Source organism: Homo sapiens, chromosome 9 (assembly GCF_000001405.40).
Source record: "Homo sapiens chromosome 9, GRCh38.p14 Primary Assembly".
Classification (NCBI taxonomy): Eukaryota; Metazoa; Chordata; class Mammalia; order Primates; family Hominidae; genus Homo; species Homo sapiens.
In genome coordinates, this window is record NC_000009.12 from 37,613,132 (window position 1) to 37,631,199 (window position 18,068).

The following is an 18,068-nucleotide window of genomic DNA, read 5'->3' on the forward strand; positions in this document are numbered from 1 at the left end:
CATTGTCCTAAGTGCTAGAGGAGCCCAAATGTGAACTAGGCAAGTAGTGTGCTCCTAGAGAGCTCCTGGTGTAAGAGGGAAGATAAAAGTCATCTATCCATGCATCCATTCACTCAGTGAATATATACTGAGCACCTACTATGTATGTGACAGGCATCATAGCACTGCAGATACAACAGATAACAAAATAAAGATTTTTGTACCTTACAGGTGGTAGATGAGATTGACAGTAAGATTCCCTAAAGCAAGAAGTTAATGTTACCCTTTGAGAATGAAATTAGGAAAAGTTAATGTGAAACAAACCAACAAAATCAACTGGCTAATGGGAATATAATTATAACTAAGGGAGCTTAAATACAACAAATCATATGATACTTTGCTGGCTCTTAGTGTAAAGGGGTTAGTCTGCCTGGAGCTCGAAAACAGAGACACAGCGGAAAAATATTTTAAAATTTGTTCCTAGCGTTCTCTGAAGACAGGGTAGTCAACCATGGACTGAAAACATCAGGCTGCCACAGCTCAGTGACACTGGCCACTGAGATCATTCAACTCACATTCTTTCAAGCACCTTTTCTTCTTCTCTTGGCTCCTATGTACCTTCAGGTTTAACTTAAATATAACTTTTCTGGAAAGCCTCTTCTGTACTCTCAGAGTACTATGTACTATGTGCGGCTTCATGGCACTTATTACAGCCATAATTTATTAACTGTTTCTTTATTTAGTGTCTGTCATCTCTCACTAGACTGGAAGCTGCATAAGGGCAGAAGCCCTGTCAATCTTATCCACACTTGCCTCCTACTGCCTGGCACATAGAGGCACTCAGGAAATATTTGTCAAATGACTGAATAAATAAATGAAAGACTGAATGAATCTGACTTCCCAGGAAGATTTTCTTATAAGGGAAGAATGCTGCCAGCAGAGAGGGGACTTTATTTCTGAGTTTCTTAGAGACCTCTCATATGACATCACTCTAACATAGGTAGAAAATGAACAGGAATGATCTATGGGACTTCAGAGATGGGGTAGCAATTATGGAAGTGGTTGTTGAAGAGTGGACACCTAGCCCAAGTCTTGAATCAAAGATGGGATTAGGCATGTGGGACTGAGGGGTAGAGGGAAAAAGATTATTCTAGGCAGAAATGGACAACACAGGCAAAGATACCAAGTCTGGAATGCAGAGTGCATATAGGGAAGAAATGGGAAATAACATGGGGAAGGCAGGCTGGGATCCCAATGAGACAGGCAGGATGAAGAATATGGACTTATTCATATTCATCTGTTGGTAGGCTTTGCCACAGAGGGAATCCCTGCATTGCACAAGGGCGTCAGTTCCTTCCGTAGTGTTTCAAAAGGCATGGTGTGGACAATGAAATTGACTGAATGACTCCAGGGAAAGGCCAGCTGAAATGTTTCCCAAAAAACCTTCACAGTGGGGCATTACCTTAATGAAGTTACAGGGTCCAGGTTCTGGCCCTTTGCCCCTGAGGTTCGGAAGTCTAATTTGTCAGCAGTCAAGGGTGTCTAGGCTTACAAGGCTAATGTACATAACCAGGATGCTAGCTTATTTACAAGGAAAACTAGAATTGCTGAAGGTTTCAAATGTTCAAGGCCTATGACTAGAGCATTCTAGCCCAGTAAGTAGGCCAAATGAGAAGTCATATTATAATCAGGTGTCAGTTTATTAACTCATGGTAAGAAATACAATTGCCAAGGGATGCCTAAGTCCAATGGCTAATGGATTTATTTCTTGTAGGTGGAGCTACATGAAGCTAAACTATAATTAGATTGCTTGATAAGTGTGGAATTAAAACAAGGGGAAGAAATTAAAAGAATGTTTAGAGGCATCTGGCCTAGACCTCTATAATAGGGAGATACCTGTCATCAGAATTACCCAAATCTCCTTCTTAACCAGAGCCCCTTTGCCAAGACTTGCTTGTCTGACCTTGCAGGGTTGCTACCTTTTCTAGTCTTTTCTTTCTTTCTTTTTTTTTTGTGTGTGACACAGGGGTCTCACTCTGTCACCCAGGTTGGAATGCAGTGGCGTGATCTCAGCTCTCTGCAACCTCCACTTCCCAGGCTCAAGTGATCCTCCTATGTCAGCCTCCTGAGTAGCTGGGACCACAGGCATACCATGCCTGGCTAATTTTTTTGTATTTTTTGGTAGAGATGGGGTTTAGCTGTGTTGCCTAGGCTGGTCTTGAACTCCTGAGCTCAGGTGATCTACCCACCTCGGCCTCTGAAAGTGCTGGGATTACAGGCATGAGCCACTGCACCGGTCTATAGCATTTTCTTAGCTCGTCAACCTCGCTTCTGATTGAGCTTTTCTTCTTTACCTGTATTAATATTTTCAATGAGATTTCATCAAGTGGTCCCGGTCTGAGAACCATTCTGTTTCTTTAAGGTGACTTAGCAAATCTCTACTCTAATACATTATGTGTTGATGTCCTATTTTAACTCTCAAGGACAATCTCATTTCTAATTCTTTCAGGATCACTCACTGTTGCCCTTAGTACTGACAACACTTTACAGCCTCGAGATTTTAGGACACCCCAAGCCCCAGATGGCTTAGAGCAATCTTATTTAACATTGTCGGGATTTCCCAAACTAGATGAAACCTCAGTGATAATAACTCCTTCCATTCCATTCATGTGTTTCTTTGTAATCAAAACACATGATCACATCTGTTCTTTTTTTTTTTTGAGACAGAGTCTCCCTCTGTCACCCAGGCTGGAGTGTAATGGCATGATCTCAGCTCACTGCAACCTCCGTCTCCTGGATTCAAGCAATTCTTATGCCTCAGCCTCCCAAGTAGCTGAGATTACAGGCACCCACCATCATGCCCAGCTTGTTTTTTTGTGTATTTTTAGTAGAGACGGGGTTTCACCATGTTGGTCAGGCTGGTCTTGAACTCCTGACCTCAAGTGATCCACCCGCCTCGGCCTCCCAAAGTGCTGGGATTACAGGCATGAGCCACTGTGCCCAGCCCTTTTTTTTTTTTTTTTTTTTTGACAGAGTCTTACTCTGTCGCCCAGGCTGGAGTGCAGTGGTATAATCTCAGCTCACTGCAACCTCTGCCTCTGAGTTCTAGCTATTCTCCTGGTTCACCCTCTCACGTAGCTGGGATTTCAGGTGTGTACCACCACACCCGGCTAATTTTGTATTTTTAGTAAAGACGGGGTTTCACCATGTTGGCCAGGCTGGTCTCAAACTCCTAACCTCAAGTGATCCATCCACCTTGGCCTCCCAAAGTGCTGGGATTACAGGCATGAGCCACTGCGCCCGGCCCACATCTGTTGTTTTATTCCATCATCCTAAGAACTCTTGAGGGAAAGGGCGGGGATTGGAGTTGCTTATGGTCACACAGTTAATAAGAGGTAGAGACAGATCTCAGAGCCCAGGGCACTTTCTGTTGCATCCTGCTGTTGCACCATGAAAAAGAACAGAGTTTTCTTGTAAATTCCACCTGCACTGAGAAGAAATATCACATAATACTGTTGTTAGATTTACCCACTTGAAGGTCAAGCACAGAAGTCAGATTTGAGGCTTACCATGAAACCATGATTGAAAAATCTAGTATCAGAAGTAGGGCTTGATTTGCAGTACTGTAGATGGGTCTAGTCTCTCCGTATCTCTAGGAGATAGAACAACAGGATTAGACAGACCCCTCAGGGCAGAGTTGGCAGGAGCAAAGACCAAATTATAGATTGGAAGGCACAACAGTGATCCTAGAGTTAGAATGAAGGGGGCTGGTGTTCCTGGGGTATATTACCACCAAGCTACAGGAAACATAGGGTTGAACGACCCCTCTTAGACTCAGAAGTCTTTTCCTCTAAACACTGCTGGATGTACAAGGACCCATTCTTATGCATTGCTTGCTTTCCGCAGACTGCACACAGACCATGATAAGAGTCATTATTGAGCACCCACACTATGCTAGGCTCAGGCCTAGGTATGTGATTTTGCTCTTAATCTCTATCCTACGCCCAAGAAACTGTAACCTTTAGAGGTTAAACTTGCCCAAGATCACTAATATGATGGAAATGGGTTTCTAAGCAGGTCTGTTTGGCTGCAGAACTAAACTTTTTTCCCTTTATGCCATGACGACAAACATTCATATCTCAGAATGAGATGTTACAATTCAGGCCTCTTCTGTCCTCCAGTTCTGCTGGCTGGAGTGATGAGAACAAGAGACACTCTGACCTCAGAGAGCGTTGCATTCAGTACATGCCAGAGCCAGACTGCCTGGTTTCAAATGCAGGCTCTACCACTTGCCCACTGGGATAAGTCTTACTGGCTCTGTGCCTGTTTCCTCACATGTAAAATGGAGAAATGATAGCACTCACTTTATAGAATTATTGTGAGGATTAAATATGCTAATGTAGGTACAGTGCTTAGAAAAGTATCTGGCACATAGTAAATGCTCAGTAAAATTAGCCATTATTATCTTTTGATTAAATTGAGTTCATGATCCCAATCCAATCTGACCACTTGACCGGATTCGGGAGACACTGTGTCCTCATTAATTCCCTAATTCTAAGCCATCCCTTGAGGTGGATTACTTTCTAAATGGGTCATCTTAACCATTTTTAAAGATCCCTACTGATGTAATTATCAAACCTCATCTGGAATTCTTGTGTCACACTCTGGGCGGTCCCTACAGTTTGCCCCTGTTGTACCTTCCTTCCTACTTTCCTAAAAAGGCCTGCCTAAAGTGACTCTGAGTTCACTGGACAGCTGCCCTTTCGTGGGTCCCAGCAGCCCTCTGGTCTTTAGAACTCCCCATGAGAGCCCATTCTTTGCATGCTTTGGAGCTCAGCAGCCTTCCTGAGTCTTCTCAGCTAGTGATGTTCGGATGACTGAGCTTGTAGGAAAGGGTGGGGCAGCCCCAGCTGACTCCAGAAAGGAAATGAGGTCTGTCCACACAGACAATCGCAGACCAATTAAAATGGTGCATGAGGCAATTAAGGACTGCAAATGAGGTGCCACTGCTCTGAGGTGCCACATAACTGCCAGATAATGATAGCCTTCGGCAGGGACAATACTGTGACTTGGAATTGAATGACTTTTATGACAGGATTAAAACAAAAAGGACAAGACATCTGCAAGACATAAATTCATACTTTCAAATTGAATCTTTAATACAGTTCAATCTCACAAATATTTATGAAACAGGGGGGAACAGTGCTGGCTGTTACAGGGGACAAATGAATAGGTGACACTCAGCCCCTGACCCAAGAGTGGCAGTTCTCCCTCTCCACTGCTACTTCTCATCAGCAACAACAGCCTCTTTTACCTGGAATACTACACTCATCCCGATTGGTCTCCTTGTCTCTTTTCTCATCCACAATCCATACAAAACAACTTTGGGCACATAAATTTCCCAGCCAAAAATGCTTCCCCAAAATGAGAAGCATTTTTGAGTGGGAAATAGCCTACATATTAAGTGTCAATACCTTACAAGTATTGAAAGCCCCCACAGATTGGTCCAAATTAACCTTTCCAGGTTTTTTTCTTCCAATCATACACCTCTCCCTGACCATATACCCTATATGCCAGCCTCATTGGTTTACTGCAGTTCCCTCAAACACACTGTCTCATTCTTTCCCCTTCTTCTTGCCTTCTCTGAATCTGTTACAAAGCATCATCTCTCTTTCGGTCTCTGACTAGAGAAATCTTGCTCACCTTTCAAAGCTCCTCTCAAATGCCACTTCTTCCCTAAAGCACTCCATGGCATTTGCCTCCTTTAGTGGGAGGAGGCAAATCTGTGTCCATGTCATCCTCTGTTGCACTTGGTTTATCCTTCTGTTGCGTAGCTTTCCTCCTGTGAGCTCCCTGCTGAGCCAGTCCTGGGATTGACTTTATCATTTTCCTCTCCCACAGCACAGCCTAGCACAGGATTTATGTGGAGTGAATTATACTGAATGGAATGGAGGAGATAAACCCAGCCCCAAGTGACTAATGTAAACCGACATGCCATAAGGTTCTATGACAGAGCTCTAAAGTGGAACAGAATTCAGGTTGGAGTGCGGATGAAATTTTTTCCAAACAGGGAAAACTTGGGAACGTTTCCATTTTTTTTCCATGTAAACCTTTCCTGACATCTCTGTGACATGCATCCCACCTGTAACTGTCCCCCTTTGTGATATTCACAACCCGGGCCTATAACTGGAAAATACTTGAGGTCAGAGATCTTTGTTATTTCCTTATACTTACTTCAGGGCTTGGCACATAGCAAGGGCTCAACAAATGTTTGTGGGAGAAGGGTAAAGAGGGTAGGAGGAAGAAAAGAGAGTTGTATTAATATAGAAATGGAGTAGGGCAAAAGCTGCAGAGAAATTGAATCAAGGCCAGTGCAGTGGCTCATGCCTGAAATCCCAGCACTTTGGGAGGCCAAGGTGGGTGGATCACCTGAGGTCAGGAGTTTGAGACCCGCCTGGCCAACATAGCAAAACCCCATCTCTACTAAAAGTACAAAAATTAGACAGGTGTGGTTGTGGGTGCCTATAATCCCAGCTACTTGGGAGGCTGAGGCAGGAGAATCAGTTGAACCCAGGAATTGGAGGTTGTGGTGAGCCGAGATTGTGCCACTGCACTCCAGCCTGGGCGACACAGCGAGACTCCAGCTCAGAAAAAAAAAAAAAAGAAATTGAATCGAAAAAGGTTTAGTCACATATTATGTGGGGACCCTGCCGTATAGTCTTGGTGGATTAGCTTGATATAGTGAAGGTGCTTACTAGCTACATACTGCTTTTTGTAGGTGCCAATTGACACTGAGTAGACAGGGGAAAAAAAAAAAAAAACCTGTATTCCCAGATTCATTTGTTTCTATCCTCCCCCACATCCTGGAGTTGGTGCTGTGATATATTCCCCAGTAGGAGATTACTGGGAGGCAGTTGGCAGCTGCATTCCATCCTTACCCTGTAACAGAGGGTCACCGTGATCGCTAAAAGTTTCACTAACACAAAGACCAGTCCAATGCCCACTTAAGTCAAGGTGGCTCTTAAAAACACAAAAACCAAAGGCTTCCAGATGAGGACAGAATTCCATTTTACCCTTCACTTCTACACAAATAGGCAAAATTAGAAGTGGAACACTCGTGTTTATCTGCCTCCAGGTCACAGCATCACAGCAGAGTAGAAGGAGCAGTGGCTTGGCATTGCTGAGAACCAAAAATAATGAGCAGTTTCGCCACTGACAAGGCACACAACTTGAGGCAGATGCCTTAATTACCAAGGCTCATTTTCCTCATCTATAAAATAGGAATAAATACCATATTCTTCACAGGGCTGCTGTGAGAATTAAATAACATGCACCATAAATCACTTAGTCCAGCACCGGGCATAGAGAAGGCCCTAAGTAAATGGTTGCTATTGATCATCATGATTTAAAAAAAAAAAAACTATTTGGGGTAATGTTCAAGGGCTTAGCATAGTAGACAGCTGTTATATGATATTTCAGAAAGCATGTTTGATGTTCCAGCTGTCTGGTGGAGCAGTCTTGGAGCACTGGGTTTTCCTTTCAACTCCTGTTTTTATTGTATCCTTTTCATGTGTCTGTATTTATATGCTATAGAAAGTATAGCACAGTTTTTTTTTTAAGCAATAATGAAATATCTTCTGGCCCTTGTTTATTTTCATCTTGTTTCCTGCTATTCCAGGCCCTGTGTACTAGGAAGAGATGATAAAGCACCTTCTTTACTATAATATTTTATTGGTGTGTATTTGCAATAGCATTTTGAAGAAACTAATTCCCAAGAGTCAGCCTTCAATGCTTTCTGTTAAAAAAAGTGCTAGGCTCATAAGATGATGTGACATCCAATATTTTCATTATTTATTGTAGTTTTAATTTAATTCTTTTCAGTTTGCATGTTACCTATTTTTGTATAGAAAATAAAAACATTTTCTCACATGTATCCAAAATGATAGTCGAAATTGATGGAGAGGGAAGAAGGGAATAAGAGAGAAGGAGTGACTGACTGATTCTTCATTACAATATTTCATATCAGGAAGGCAAAGAATGAGTAACTGAGGAGGATAAAGGAGGCAGGGGACAGGAAAGGCCTACACTAGGGTAGACCTTCATTAATTGTTCACTGAATAGATGAGTGAATTGTAACAGGGTGTTAGACTAGAAGTTTCCACAGAGAATTCAGACACAATAGCTATCAGATACCCAAAGTAATGGGACAGACCACCCAGAGGAACTCAAAACAGGATTTAGCAGAAAGTGGTTACGTGACTCTTGCACCGTCATCCTCACCAAGGGTCGAAGGATAGAATGACTGGAAGCTTTTGAAGAGGATTTCTTTGGAGGAAGCAGCTGGTGTGCTAAGTGCCGCTCATGGCCCCAGGGGATAAGGAAGGGGTGTGTGGGTGCCTATCTCACCTCACTTCAGCAGGACCACTCAGAGCTTGAGCTGTGTCTCCTGCAGTTGGGGGCCCAGGGGACTGGGTCTGACTCCCGCCCTGGAAATTTACAGGAAAAGAGCAGGGCTGGCTAATGCTTTGGCTGTGGAACAAGGAGGAGTAGCTGCTGCTTCGGGATTGGCCAACACTCCCAGAATTTGTTCAGGCAAAGAATGCTTCAGGGAGCAGATATGGGCCCCTATAGGGGAGAGCCAGTGTGGGAAGCACCTTAGATGCATTTACGTGGGAGTGAATAGGCCCCAGCAGATGAGACAGCTTCTGGATGGTGAGGGCTGCTGGGATTTCTAGGGCCTGGGAGAAACTTCCTGCCGAACAGGATGCTTTTGCTCAGGTTAAGGGGTCCTCAAGTGAGGGCTCACAATAGTACCACGTAAGAGGAAGTCAGTTTGACACAACTGCTCAAATCCTCAGCCAGCTGTTCTGCTGAGAATGCCTTCATACTCAGGTGTAAATCAGTTGCAGAGTTGGCTATATGCTTGCTTCTGGGGACATTTTTGCTTTAGCAGTAAAAGTGCCTGAGTTCAAAGAAGTAATACTTTCATAGTGGATTATGGGCATCTGAAGCAGGCAAATGCCATGGGAGATTTCCTTAGAAGGAGCTCCCCAGCTGTCTGGGAGCCATATTGGATATGCCCCTGAGCTCTGGGCACATGGGTGGTGGCTGCTTATTTTGCCTGAGACGGTGAATGTGAATGCATGTTATAAACTATTAGGTGCTGTGCAAATGTAAGCCAGCATTGTTATCGTTTTGCTTTAATAGCCGCAATGAATTACCAACAGATGTGTGAACTCTTAAAATGTTCGTTACACACACAGATGCTTCTCCCATCCTTATCAAATTATCTCATTAGAATTGGAATTTCTTGAGCATCCCAGAGGGTCAGAAGCAACCCTCACACATCAGAGAGACAAGGTTCTAAAAACCAAATGTTTAGTCCCTCACAGGGCATTTCTTCTTTTTCCCTGTCTACTGCCACCTGTCCAGAAGCGTTTCTGCTTTAGATCCTATCAGTCCCACCTTGCAACTGAGGCAGAAACTCCAGCCTGGCCTGAGCCTTTTTTGTGTTAGAAATGATAAGAAACAGCTGTCCTCGGATTAATGCCATCATCTCTGTTATGATTCAGCCATTCAGCTTGTGGCAGCAATTGCGTGTTAGATGAATGTCTTTCTAAATTCAATCACCCCAAAATAAATACATTGCAGTAGTCTCATTAAACAAAATTGGATGCAAGGAGAGAATGGGACTGACTGATAGGAAATGAGAAAAAAGTAGGATATTTCAAAGCTGCACGCAGCCAATTGCCCTTCAGAAACCTCTTCCAGGCCCTTGTTCAGCTTTAGCACATTTAGTTAGAAAAGAAAAAAAAAAACAAAGAGAGATGCTTATGTATGTGGTAATACTTTCTCCAAAGAGGGATCTTTTTAAAAATGACATATGATAAAATAATATATATTCATATGAAGGGATAATCATACAAAATAGGCAAATATGCAGATCTCATATATGACATTTAATATAGATTATCCTGCTGTTCAGTAGATCATTGGAATGTTTTAAAGTCTGACCACATGGTAGACACTGTGTTAGGTGCTGAGGGGATGCTACATTCATTGATGAATTCATTCGTGGAAGCTGTGTGTGCTGAGACCACTCTATGCTGTGTCCTGTTCTCATTGCTAGGGGTACCACCATGAACGAGACAGCCTCTGGTTGGGAAAGGTGCCTGGAATGGGATATGGAAGAGGATGGACAAAGATAACTGTATGTATTGAGAAGTTCAATGTGCCAAGTACCATAGGAAACAAACACAAAGAGACTCATGAGAGTGTAGAAGAAAAAGCAGTTGTTTATCTCTTAAGGAAACAGACAATCTTCAGGCAGGGGGCAGCCTTTTCGCTGAACCTTGAAGTCTGTGAAGAGTTTCAAAGTAAAGGCCCCTCTAGGCTAAGGAAACTGTGTGAACAAAAATGAAGATTATACATTTTGGCAAGGGGCTGGGGACTAGAGAGCACAGAAGACATAGGGGAGTCATAGATATGGCTGGACACACTGGTGAGAGCCCTGCATGCTGGGCCAAGGAGTTTGAACCCTATCCCTTATGCACTCGAGAGTCACTGCAGAAATGATATGATTAGAATTGTGCACCAAGAAGCTTAATCCTGTAGCAGGCTATAGATAGAATTGATTGAAGGTAGGAGGCTTTAGAGATGGGAGTCTACTAAGACCATCACAAAAGTTCAGGCCAGGGATAAACAAGGGCCCAAGGTAGGATTATGACAGATAAGCACTGGAGAAACAAACATTAATTATTAAAAGGAAAAAAAATCAATGAATTTATGACTGTGGACATTTTAGGCTCACTACGTTCCTCGGGGTATTAGATTTATTTTTGCAGATTAGGGTGATGTGGGAGAGGTGCATATGGTTCGGGGCCCCAGCGGGAAGACAGGATCTAGCTGAGGTGGTTCAAGAGACAGTAATGAAGGCACTACTTGCAGAGTTGTGGGCCAGGTCAAGGGAACCAAGAGTAGGAAGCTGTTAACATCCCTAAGGGGAAAGGCAAGGAAGGAATAGTACCAGTTTCTAGTGAGAGCTGGAGCCATAGAGCAAGGGCCACCCAGCAGGTGCTATAGTCTAGGAAGGACAAATAAGGGAGCAGGAAAAGAACTAGCCCTATGTCTCTTAGTTACTGTCCTTTATTCTCCTGCTAGTTCCTTTCACTGGTCAAACTCACCTGAAATGTGACTGCATAATGCAATTACAGAGGTGGGCCTCTCAGGGCACACAGCAGGAGACAGGAGACAATGGGCAGAAATACACATGAGGGAGAGGGGAACGGGAAGCAAATGGAGACTAACCAACATATAGTGCTACATTCTGCCATATTCTTGCTTTTATATTTCATGTCTTGGAGCTTCTTAAATCCTAAGGATTTCAAACAAAGGGGTTTCCCTCAAAACCTGATTCCAATTCACACTCTTGATAATAAAAGCTAGTAATAAAATCTAAATAATGAAGGGTGAGGGGACATAATTTAACTTTAGAATCTCAGTTTATCTGTAGAATGATGATATTAATTCCTGCTATGACAACTCTCTATGATTATTATGAAAAGAAAATGAGATACAGGAATAAAACTGTTTTTAAAATTAATTTTTGGTGTGAATCACTGAAAAGATGTGAGGGATTGTTATCATCATCTGGGATCATTCCATTTTTTGCTTTGGTACTTTCCACCCTACCAGCACAGTGCCTACCCAGAGGGCTGCTCAATCAATGGTTATGGCATTGAATTAACTTGAAATGAATTCTGAACACATACACCCTTTCTCTTATAATCCAGGCATGATGTCTTTCCATCGGTTTTCTTACTGTGAGATTTTTACCTCCCTCAACATACTATACCCTCTAACAATATGTCAGAAAAAATGAAGACCACTCAGGGTTAAAGTAGTTGAGAAATATTTAACTTCTTTCATCAAAGAAAAATGTCTTCAGATATTCTTGGAGTGAGACATCATTAGTAGCTTTGACTAAGTATCCCAAGTCTGAACATGGGATTTCTCATCTGAATGCACTAGTTTCCTTTCACAGCTTCCAACAGCTGCACACACTGTGATTTGGAGGGGGTAGCAGTTTGAAAGATGAAAAACCCTTCAAAGCTGTTTGAAATAGCTAAATCCCATGTGTGAAAAGACTCAGTTCTGGCACTGTAATTGCTTTTCTTGGTCTGATCCTCAGGGATAGGCCCTAAATGAGATATTAGGGTTGTTCCATCTCTAATACTGATGATTTTGCCTCAGAATTCAGGTCCTTGATTTTCTGAAGTGCATTAGAAGAAATGCAGGCAGAGAGCTCCCTGCCAGGAAGTCATCTGAGGAAAGCCTTCCGTATTGCTTACTTCCTCAAGCATAGGTGGACGCGCAGGAGTGTTTCCCGTTTGCTGGTCCCAGACATCAGCACAAATAAATGAAGCCAACCAAAGGACTCTGGGACCCTGGACAGTTCCTAAGTGCTTAGAGGGTCATCTGGTCATGGACCTGTCCCAGGGTCCTGTTGATATAATTGCTTTAAATTGCTTCCAAAGCCAAAGGACCTGGAAAAAATAGGTAAGGAGCTGAAGGAACTACAGGTGAAGAGCATGCAGAAGAGAGAACTGGGGTGGGCGTGGGGCAGGATGCAGTTTTCACCCTGCAGCTATTTCAGGGGGTGGAGTGGTGCATCTTCTCCAAAGAGGAGCCCTCCTCGTGTCCACAGTTTGCTCCTCCAGGCCCAGAACGCTCCTTCCAAGCTGGGTTGCTGTCTGCAGCGCCTCACAAGGAGAGGTTTGCAGATCAGCAGCAGCTATATTACCAGGAAGCTTGTTAAAAATGTAAATGAGGGCCGGGAGCGGCGGCTCACGCCTGTAGTCCCAGCACTTTGGGAGACCACGAGACTAACCTGGCCAACATGGTGAAACCCCGTATCTATTAAAAATACAAACATGGCTGGGCGCGGTGGCTCATGCCTGTAATCTCAGCACTTTAAGAGCCTGAGGCAGGCGAATCACCTGAGGTTAGGAGTTCAAGATCAGCCTGGCCAACATGGTGAAACCCCGTCTCTACTAAAAAATACAGAAATTAGCTAGGCATGGTGGCACATGCCTGTAATCCCAGCTACTTGGGAGGCTGAGGCAGGGAGAATTGCTTGAACCCCAGAGGCGGAGGCTGCAGTGAGTCGAGATCGCGCCACTGCACTCCAGCCTGTGCGACAGAGCGAGACTCCATCTGAAAAAAATAAAAATAAAAATACAAAAATTAGCTGGGCGTTGTGGCACGTGTCTGTAGTCCCAGCTACTTGGGAGGCTGAGGCATGAGAATTGCTTTAACCTGGGAAGCAGAGGTTGCAGTGAGCTGAGATTGTGCCACTGCACTCCAGCCTGGACGACAGAGACTTAGTCTCAAAAAAAAAAAAAAAAAAAAATTAAATGAAGGGCTGGGCACTTTGGGAGGCCAAGGCAGGCAGATCGCTTGAGCTCAGGAGTTTGAGACCAGCCTGGGCAACACAGCCAGACCTGGTATCTGAAAAAAAAAAAAAAAAAAAAGCTGGAGGTGGTGGCATTCATCTGTAGTCCTAGCTACTTGGGATGCTGAGGTGAGAGGATCACCTGAGCCCAGGTGATAGAGGTTGCATTGAGCTGTGATCGGGCCACTGCATTCCAGTCTGGGCAACAGAGAGAGCCCTGTCTCAGAGAGAGAGAGAGAGAAAAGTAAATTATGGGCTTTACCACATACCTACTGAATCATTATCTTTGGGGTGTGGGGCCATGAAATATCTTTTTTAGCAGGCCCCTAGGGGATTTGTGTGCACTTTGAAGTTCGAGCAGTACTGGTTTAGAGTACACCTGCTTTGCAAGTGATTGTAAGTGTGTCTTCATTCCCTTTAATGTAACAGAGCTCCACACATAATTGGACTTTTGTAGTCATTGCCAGTTACTCCACCTTCGAGGCGATCTTTGCTGACTCAGGTTTTCCTGCGTTTTCCCAGAGCTGTTTCTTTCAGCTCCCATGGTCCTGCAGAAGCATAGTCTTTTCATGCTCCACTCTTTCAGCTCCAGTTTAAAGTCCTCTGCCTTCCATCTTTTAGCCCCTTACCTCAATTTCCCAAGTTGCAGAATTTCCCTCATCTTCCTCCTTCTTTGTTCAAGAACCATGTTAAATCCCCAAGACACCTCTTTGCCTCCCCATAAGTTTCATGTTTACTTTTTAATCCTCTACCTTCTTCAATTTCTGAAATAATAGCTCTCCTGACAAAATTTTATTTCTTGCTCTTTATATCTCTGGCACCTTCCTGCATCACTGTGCAAGTGAGTCTTAAGAGTTAGAGTCCTCTCCTTTCATCTCCAGTCATTGTTGAGATTATTTTATTATTTTACTTTATTTATTTTTGAGACAGTGCTAAACCCTCACTCTGTCATCCAGGCTAGAGTGTAGTGGCACAATCAGCTCACTGTAACCTCCAACTACTGGGCTCAAGGGATCCTCCTGCCTCAGCCTGCTGAGTAGCTTGGCTACAGGCCCATGCCACACCATGCCCAGCTAATTTTTATTTTTTTTATAGAGACAAGGTCTCACTTTGTTGCCCGGGCTATACTTTTCATTTTAAACAGCTCAATTTTATTTTATTATGCCTTCCCCCAAGTGGGTTACACTTAATCCCTTTAGTTTTGGGATACTTGGTGGTGAAGGATTCTTACTTAGGTACTGTGATAAAGTTGCCAGACTTTGGTTGGGAAAATATATAGCCTATTCAGGCTACCAAGTAATGGGGAAAATGAGAGGTCCTTAATAATTATCAGCAGGGCCCACCCAGGTTTAAATTCAACTCAATTCAACAAACATTTATTGAGCTCCTAAACAATGCAAAGGACATGTATTAGGTGCTCAGGAATAGGACCGTGACTTATAACGGCACATTTAAAAGCAGAATAAGGCTCAGACAAAAAGGAAAACCCAGTACTGGCAGACCCCAGTTACTAGTGAGGCATGCTGTTTTGCACATAATAGACATTTAAGAAAATCTGTGTTAAATGATAACATTAATTTTCAGACTAACAAGGCTTTACTTGGGTATGTCTTTTCACCTAATTGCTGTGAATTTGGAATTCTGCAGAAGGCTTTCTGTAGGGCTTTATGTTGCAAGGCTGTGTGCACCAATACTTCCAGCCCTAGGTGTCTTTCTTCTGCTTCTGTGATAATGGATGAGGCAGTAGCAGGATGGAGTTTTACCGGAAAATGTGAAGGAAACACTTGGACTCAGGACAAAAGAGAACTTGTAAACATATTAGTCTTTGGGGAAATCTTACTGCAAATTGCTCTGAAGAATGTAGACAGAGAGAAAAAAGAAAAACAGAGAAAAAGAAAGGAGGAGGAGGAGGAAAGAGAAGTCAAGTTTTAAAAGCAAACAGAAATAATAGTTTTGATGGGATGGATTTGTTTTCTTAATAAGCCTAATGATCCCAGGAGTCTCATTGGATTATTAGCAACTGTATTTAAAATTTAAATCTAAAACAAGTTTTGTAGCTGCAAAGTGCTTATCAGAACCTAACCATGCCTCTCTGGCTGGCGGCTAAGGGAACCTGCCTACCTGAGGGATGGCCACTTGATGTAGCATAGTGAGGAGAAGGGACTTAGGCCTGACTTGACCAAAATCTTAGTGTGTGATCTTTCGCAAGCTCCTTCCTCCTTCCCTTCCTGGTGCTGCAGCGTCTTCCCTATAAAATGAATAATGGAGATCAGGTCAGTGATTCTAAGTGTGTGGTCCCTGAACCAGCAACATCACCATTATCTAGGAACTTGTTAGAAATTCTACTATATCAGGCCGGGCGCGGTGGCTCACGCCTGTAATCCCAGCACTGTGGGAGGCCAAGGCAGACGGATCACCTCAGGTCAGGAGTTCAAGACCAGCCTGGCCAATATGGTGAAACCCTGTCTCTACTAAAAATACAAAAATTAGCTAGACGTGGTGGCACATGCCTGTGGTCCCAGCTACTCAGGAGGCTGAGGCAGGAGAATCGCTTGAACTCGGGAGGCGGAGGTTGCAGTGAGCCGAGGTTGTGCCATTGCACTCCAGCCTGGGTGATAGAGCGAGACTCCATCTCCAAAAAAAAAAGAAATTCTACTACATCAGAAACTCTGGGGTAGGGCCCAGCAATCTGACTTTTAACAAACCCTGCTGATAATTCTGATGCACATTCGAGTTTGAGACCCACTGGATGAGTCAGTCTACATTTCTATAAATGAAGTAACTGAAGCTCACACAAAGCAGATGTAGGCAATTGAGGCAGATGTTGGTGCTGGAGGCCACTCATTCACAGCTGCATGGTCATGGAGTGGAGTGGGGGCTGCTCTATATGGAGTGGACTGAGTTGCAGCCCCCAACCTTCGCTTCCTCCAGTACTAGATGACCGATTGTAGGCACGCCAATTGCATGCTCAGGGCAGTAGCAATGCAGGGCCACCCGCCAACATCATTTTGTCTGGAAAACATTTGATACCTGATGCTTTCCTAAAAACATTAAAGTAATCCTCACAGGAAATATCAGAACTTTACTGGACCTCTTTATACTTAGTTTATAGTTCAGTGCTTTTTAAAAAAAATGTTGAAATTCTCTGGGCAGGAATGGGGACCTGGTGGGCCTGTATAACCTTTTCAGAGTTTAGAGTATTTAGAGTTCTCTAGCCTGCCCTGCCTTCCTCCTGGCTTCTCTTTGAGGCATGCATTAAGCAACTTACTGTCTTAGTTTTTTTGGGCTGCTATAACAAAACGCTGTAGACTGAGTGGCTTACCAACAATGGAAATATATTCCTGACAGCTTGGGAAGCTGGAAGTTCAATATCAGGGTGTCATCATGGTTGGGTTCTGGTGAGGACCTTTTTCTGGGTTGCGGACTGCTGACATCTTGCTGTATCCTCATGGAGTGGAAGGTGCTAACTCCAGTCTCCTCAGCCCCTTCATAAGGGCACTAAGCCTATTTGTGAGGGCTTCACCCTCATTACCTAATCATCTGTCAAAGGCCCCACCTTCTAAATCCCCATCACATTGGAGTTTAGATTTCAACATGTGAATTTTGGGGGGACACAATCATTCGGTCCATAGCACTTGCCATACCTTATTGACTCTCTAAGAAGCACACCTTTTTAACCTCTGAGATTGGAATATGTCTTACAATTGATAGTGCCTTAGGTCCAATGAAATGTTGGCACTGTTGATGTTCCCTAGAAGCTATTCTGTGTAAGGCTTTCTTTCTTTTTCTTTTTCTTTTCGTTTCTTTTTTGCTTATTTATTTATTTATTTATTTATGAGACAGGGTTTCGCTCTGTCACCCAAGTTGGAGTGCAGTGGCCTAATCTCAGTTCACTGCAACCTCCGCCTCCTGGTTCAAGCGATTCTCCTGCCTCAGCCTCCAGAGTAGCTGGGATTACAGGCTTGGGCCACCAGTCCTGGCTGTTTTTTTTATTTTTAGTAGAGACGGAGTTTCACCATGTTGATCAGGCTTGTCTTCAACTCCTGACCTCAAGTGATCCACCCACCTTGGTCTCCCAATGTGCTGAGGTGGTCAGATCGCTTGAGGCCAGACTTTCACCCATAGCTTTTTCAGAAGTCTAAAACTTTCTTATGACCCCTGTGTCTGGAATTAGGTTCACCATGGACAGTGTGCATCCCGGTTTAGGCATTCTGACAAACTCATCCAGAAGGTATTTAGTTGGTTCTTTGTGGAGCTCCCATGATTTTGGTGTCCCCTGTTATTCAGTGCAGGGATGAATAGCTTCCTTTAGATAACTTGACTTTTTCCTAGGCAATGATTAGTGTTCTGGACAGTGTCGTGCATAGAAAAGGCCTTAGACTCATACCGTGACCTCAAGGAGCACACATTCTAGTGACACAAATGTCAACAATTATAATGTAATGTGCTAAGTGCTGTCATAGAGGTAAATAGGAAGTCCTACAGAGGAAGGGAAAAATTAAGTCTGTCTGCACTTGTTGGGTGTCACTTCACAGAGGAGTTGATGTCGCCTGGGTCTTGAAGAAGAAGAGATCACTGAATGGAAAAGGAAGGGAAGAACAGCATGTTAAAAAGCACTTCGATGTTGAAAAAATGG

At 43.6% G+C, this 18,068-nt stretch overlaps 1 protein-coding gene across 3 annotated transcripts in view; it reads left to right on the forward strand.

The window, feature by feature from the left end:
* Nucleotides 1-18,068, forward strand: part of FRMPD1 (FERM and PDZ domain containing 1) — a 143,676-nt gene that overhangs the window by 9,903 nt on the left and 115,705 nt on the right. Inside the window, exons 1-2 of one of the 3 annotated variants that reach the window (XM_047423003.1) lie at nucleotides 5,716-6,017; nucleotides 10,109-10,189. The exons of 1 other annotated variant lie outside the window; for it this stretch is intronic. The gene's annotated coding sequence lies outside the window, so the exon portion shown is untranslated. Of the gene's footprint in view, nucleotides 1-5,715; nucleotides 6,018-10,108; nucleotides 10,190-18,068 lie in introns of those variants that run through there. One more of the 3 variants, NM_001371224.1, reaches the window with a different exon arrangement.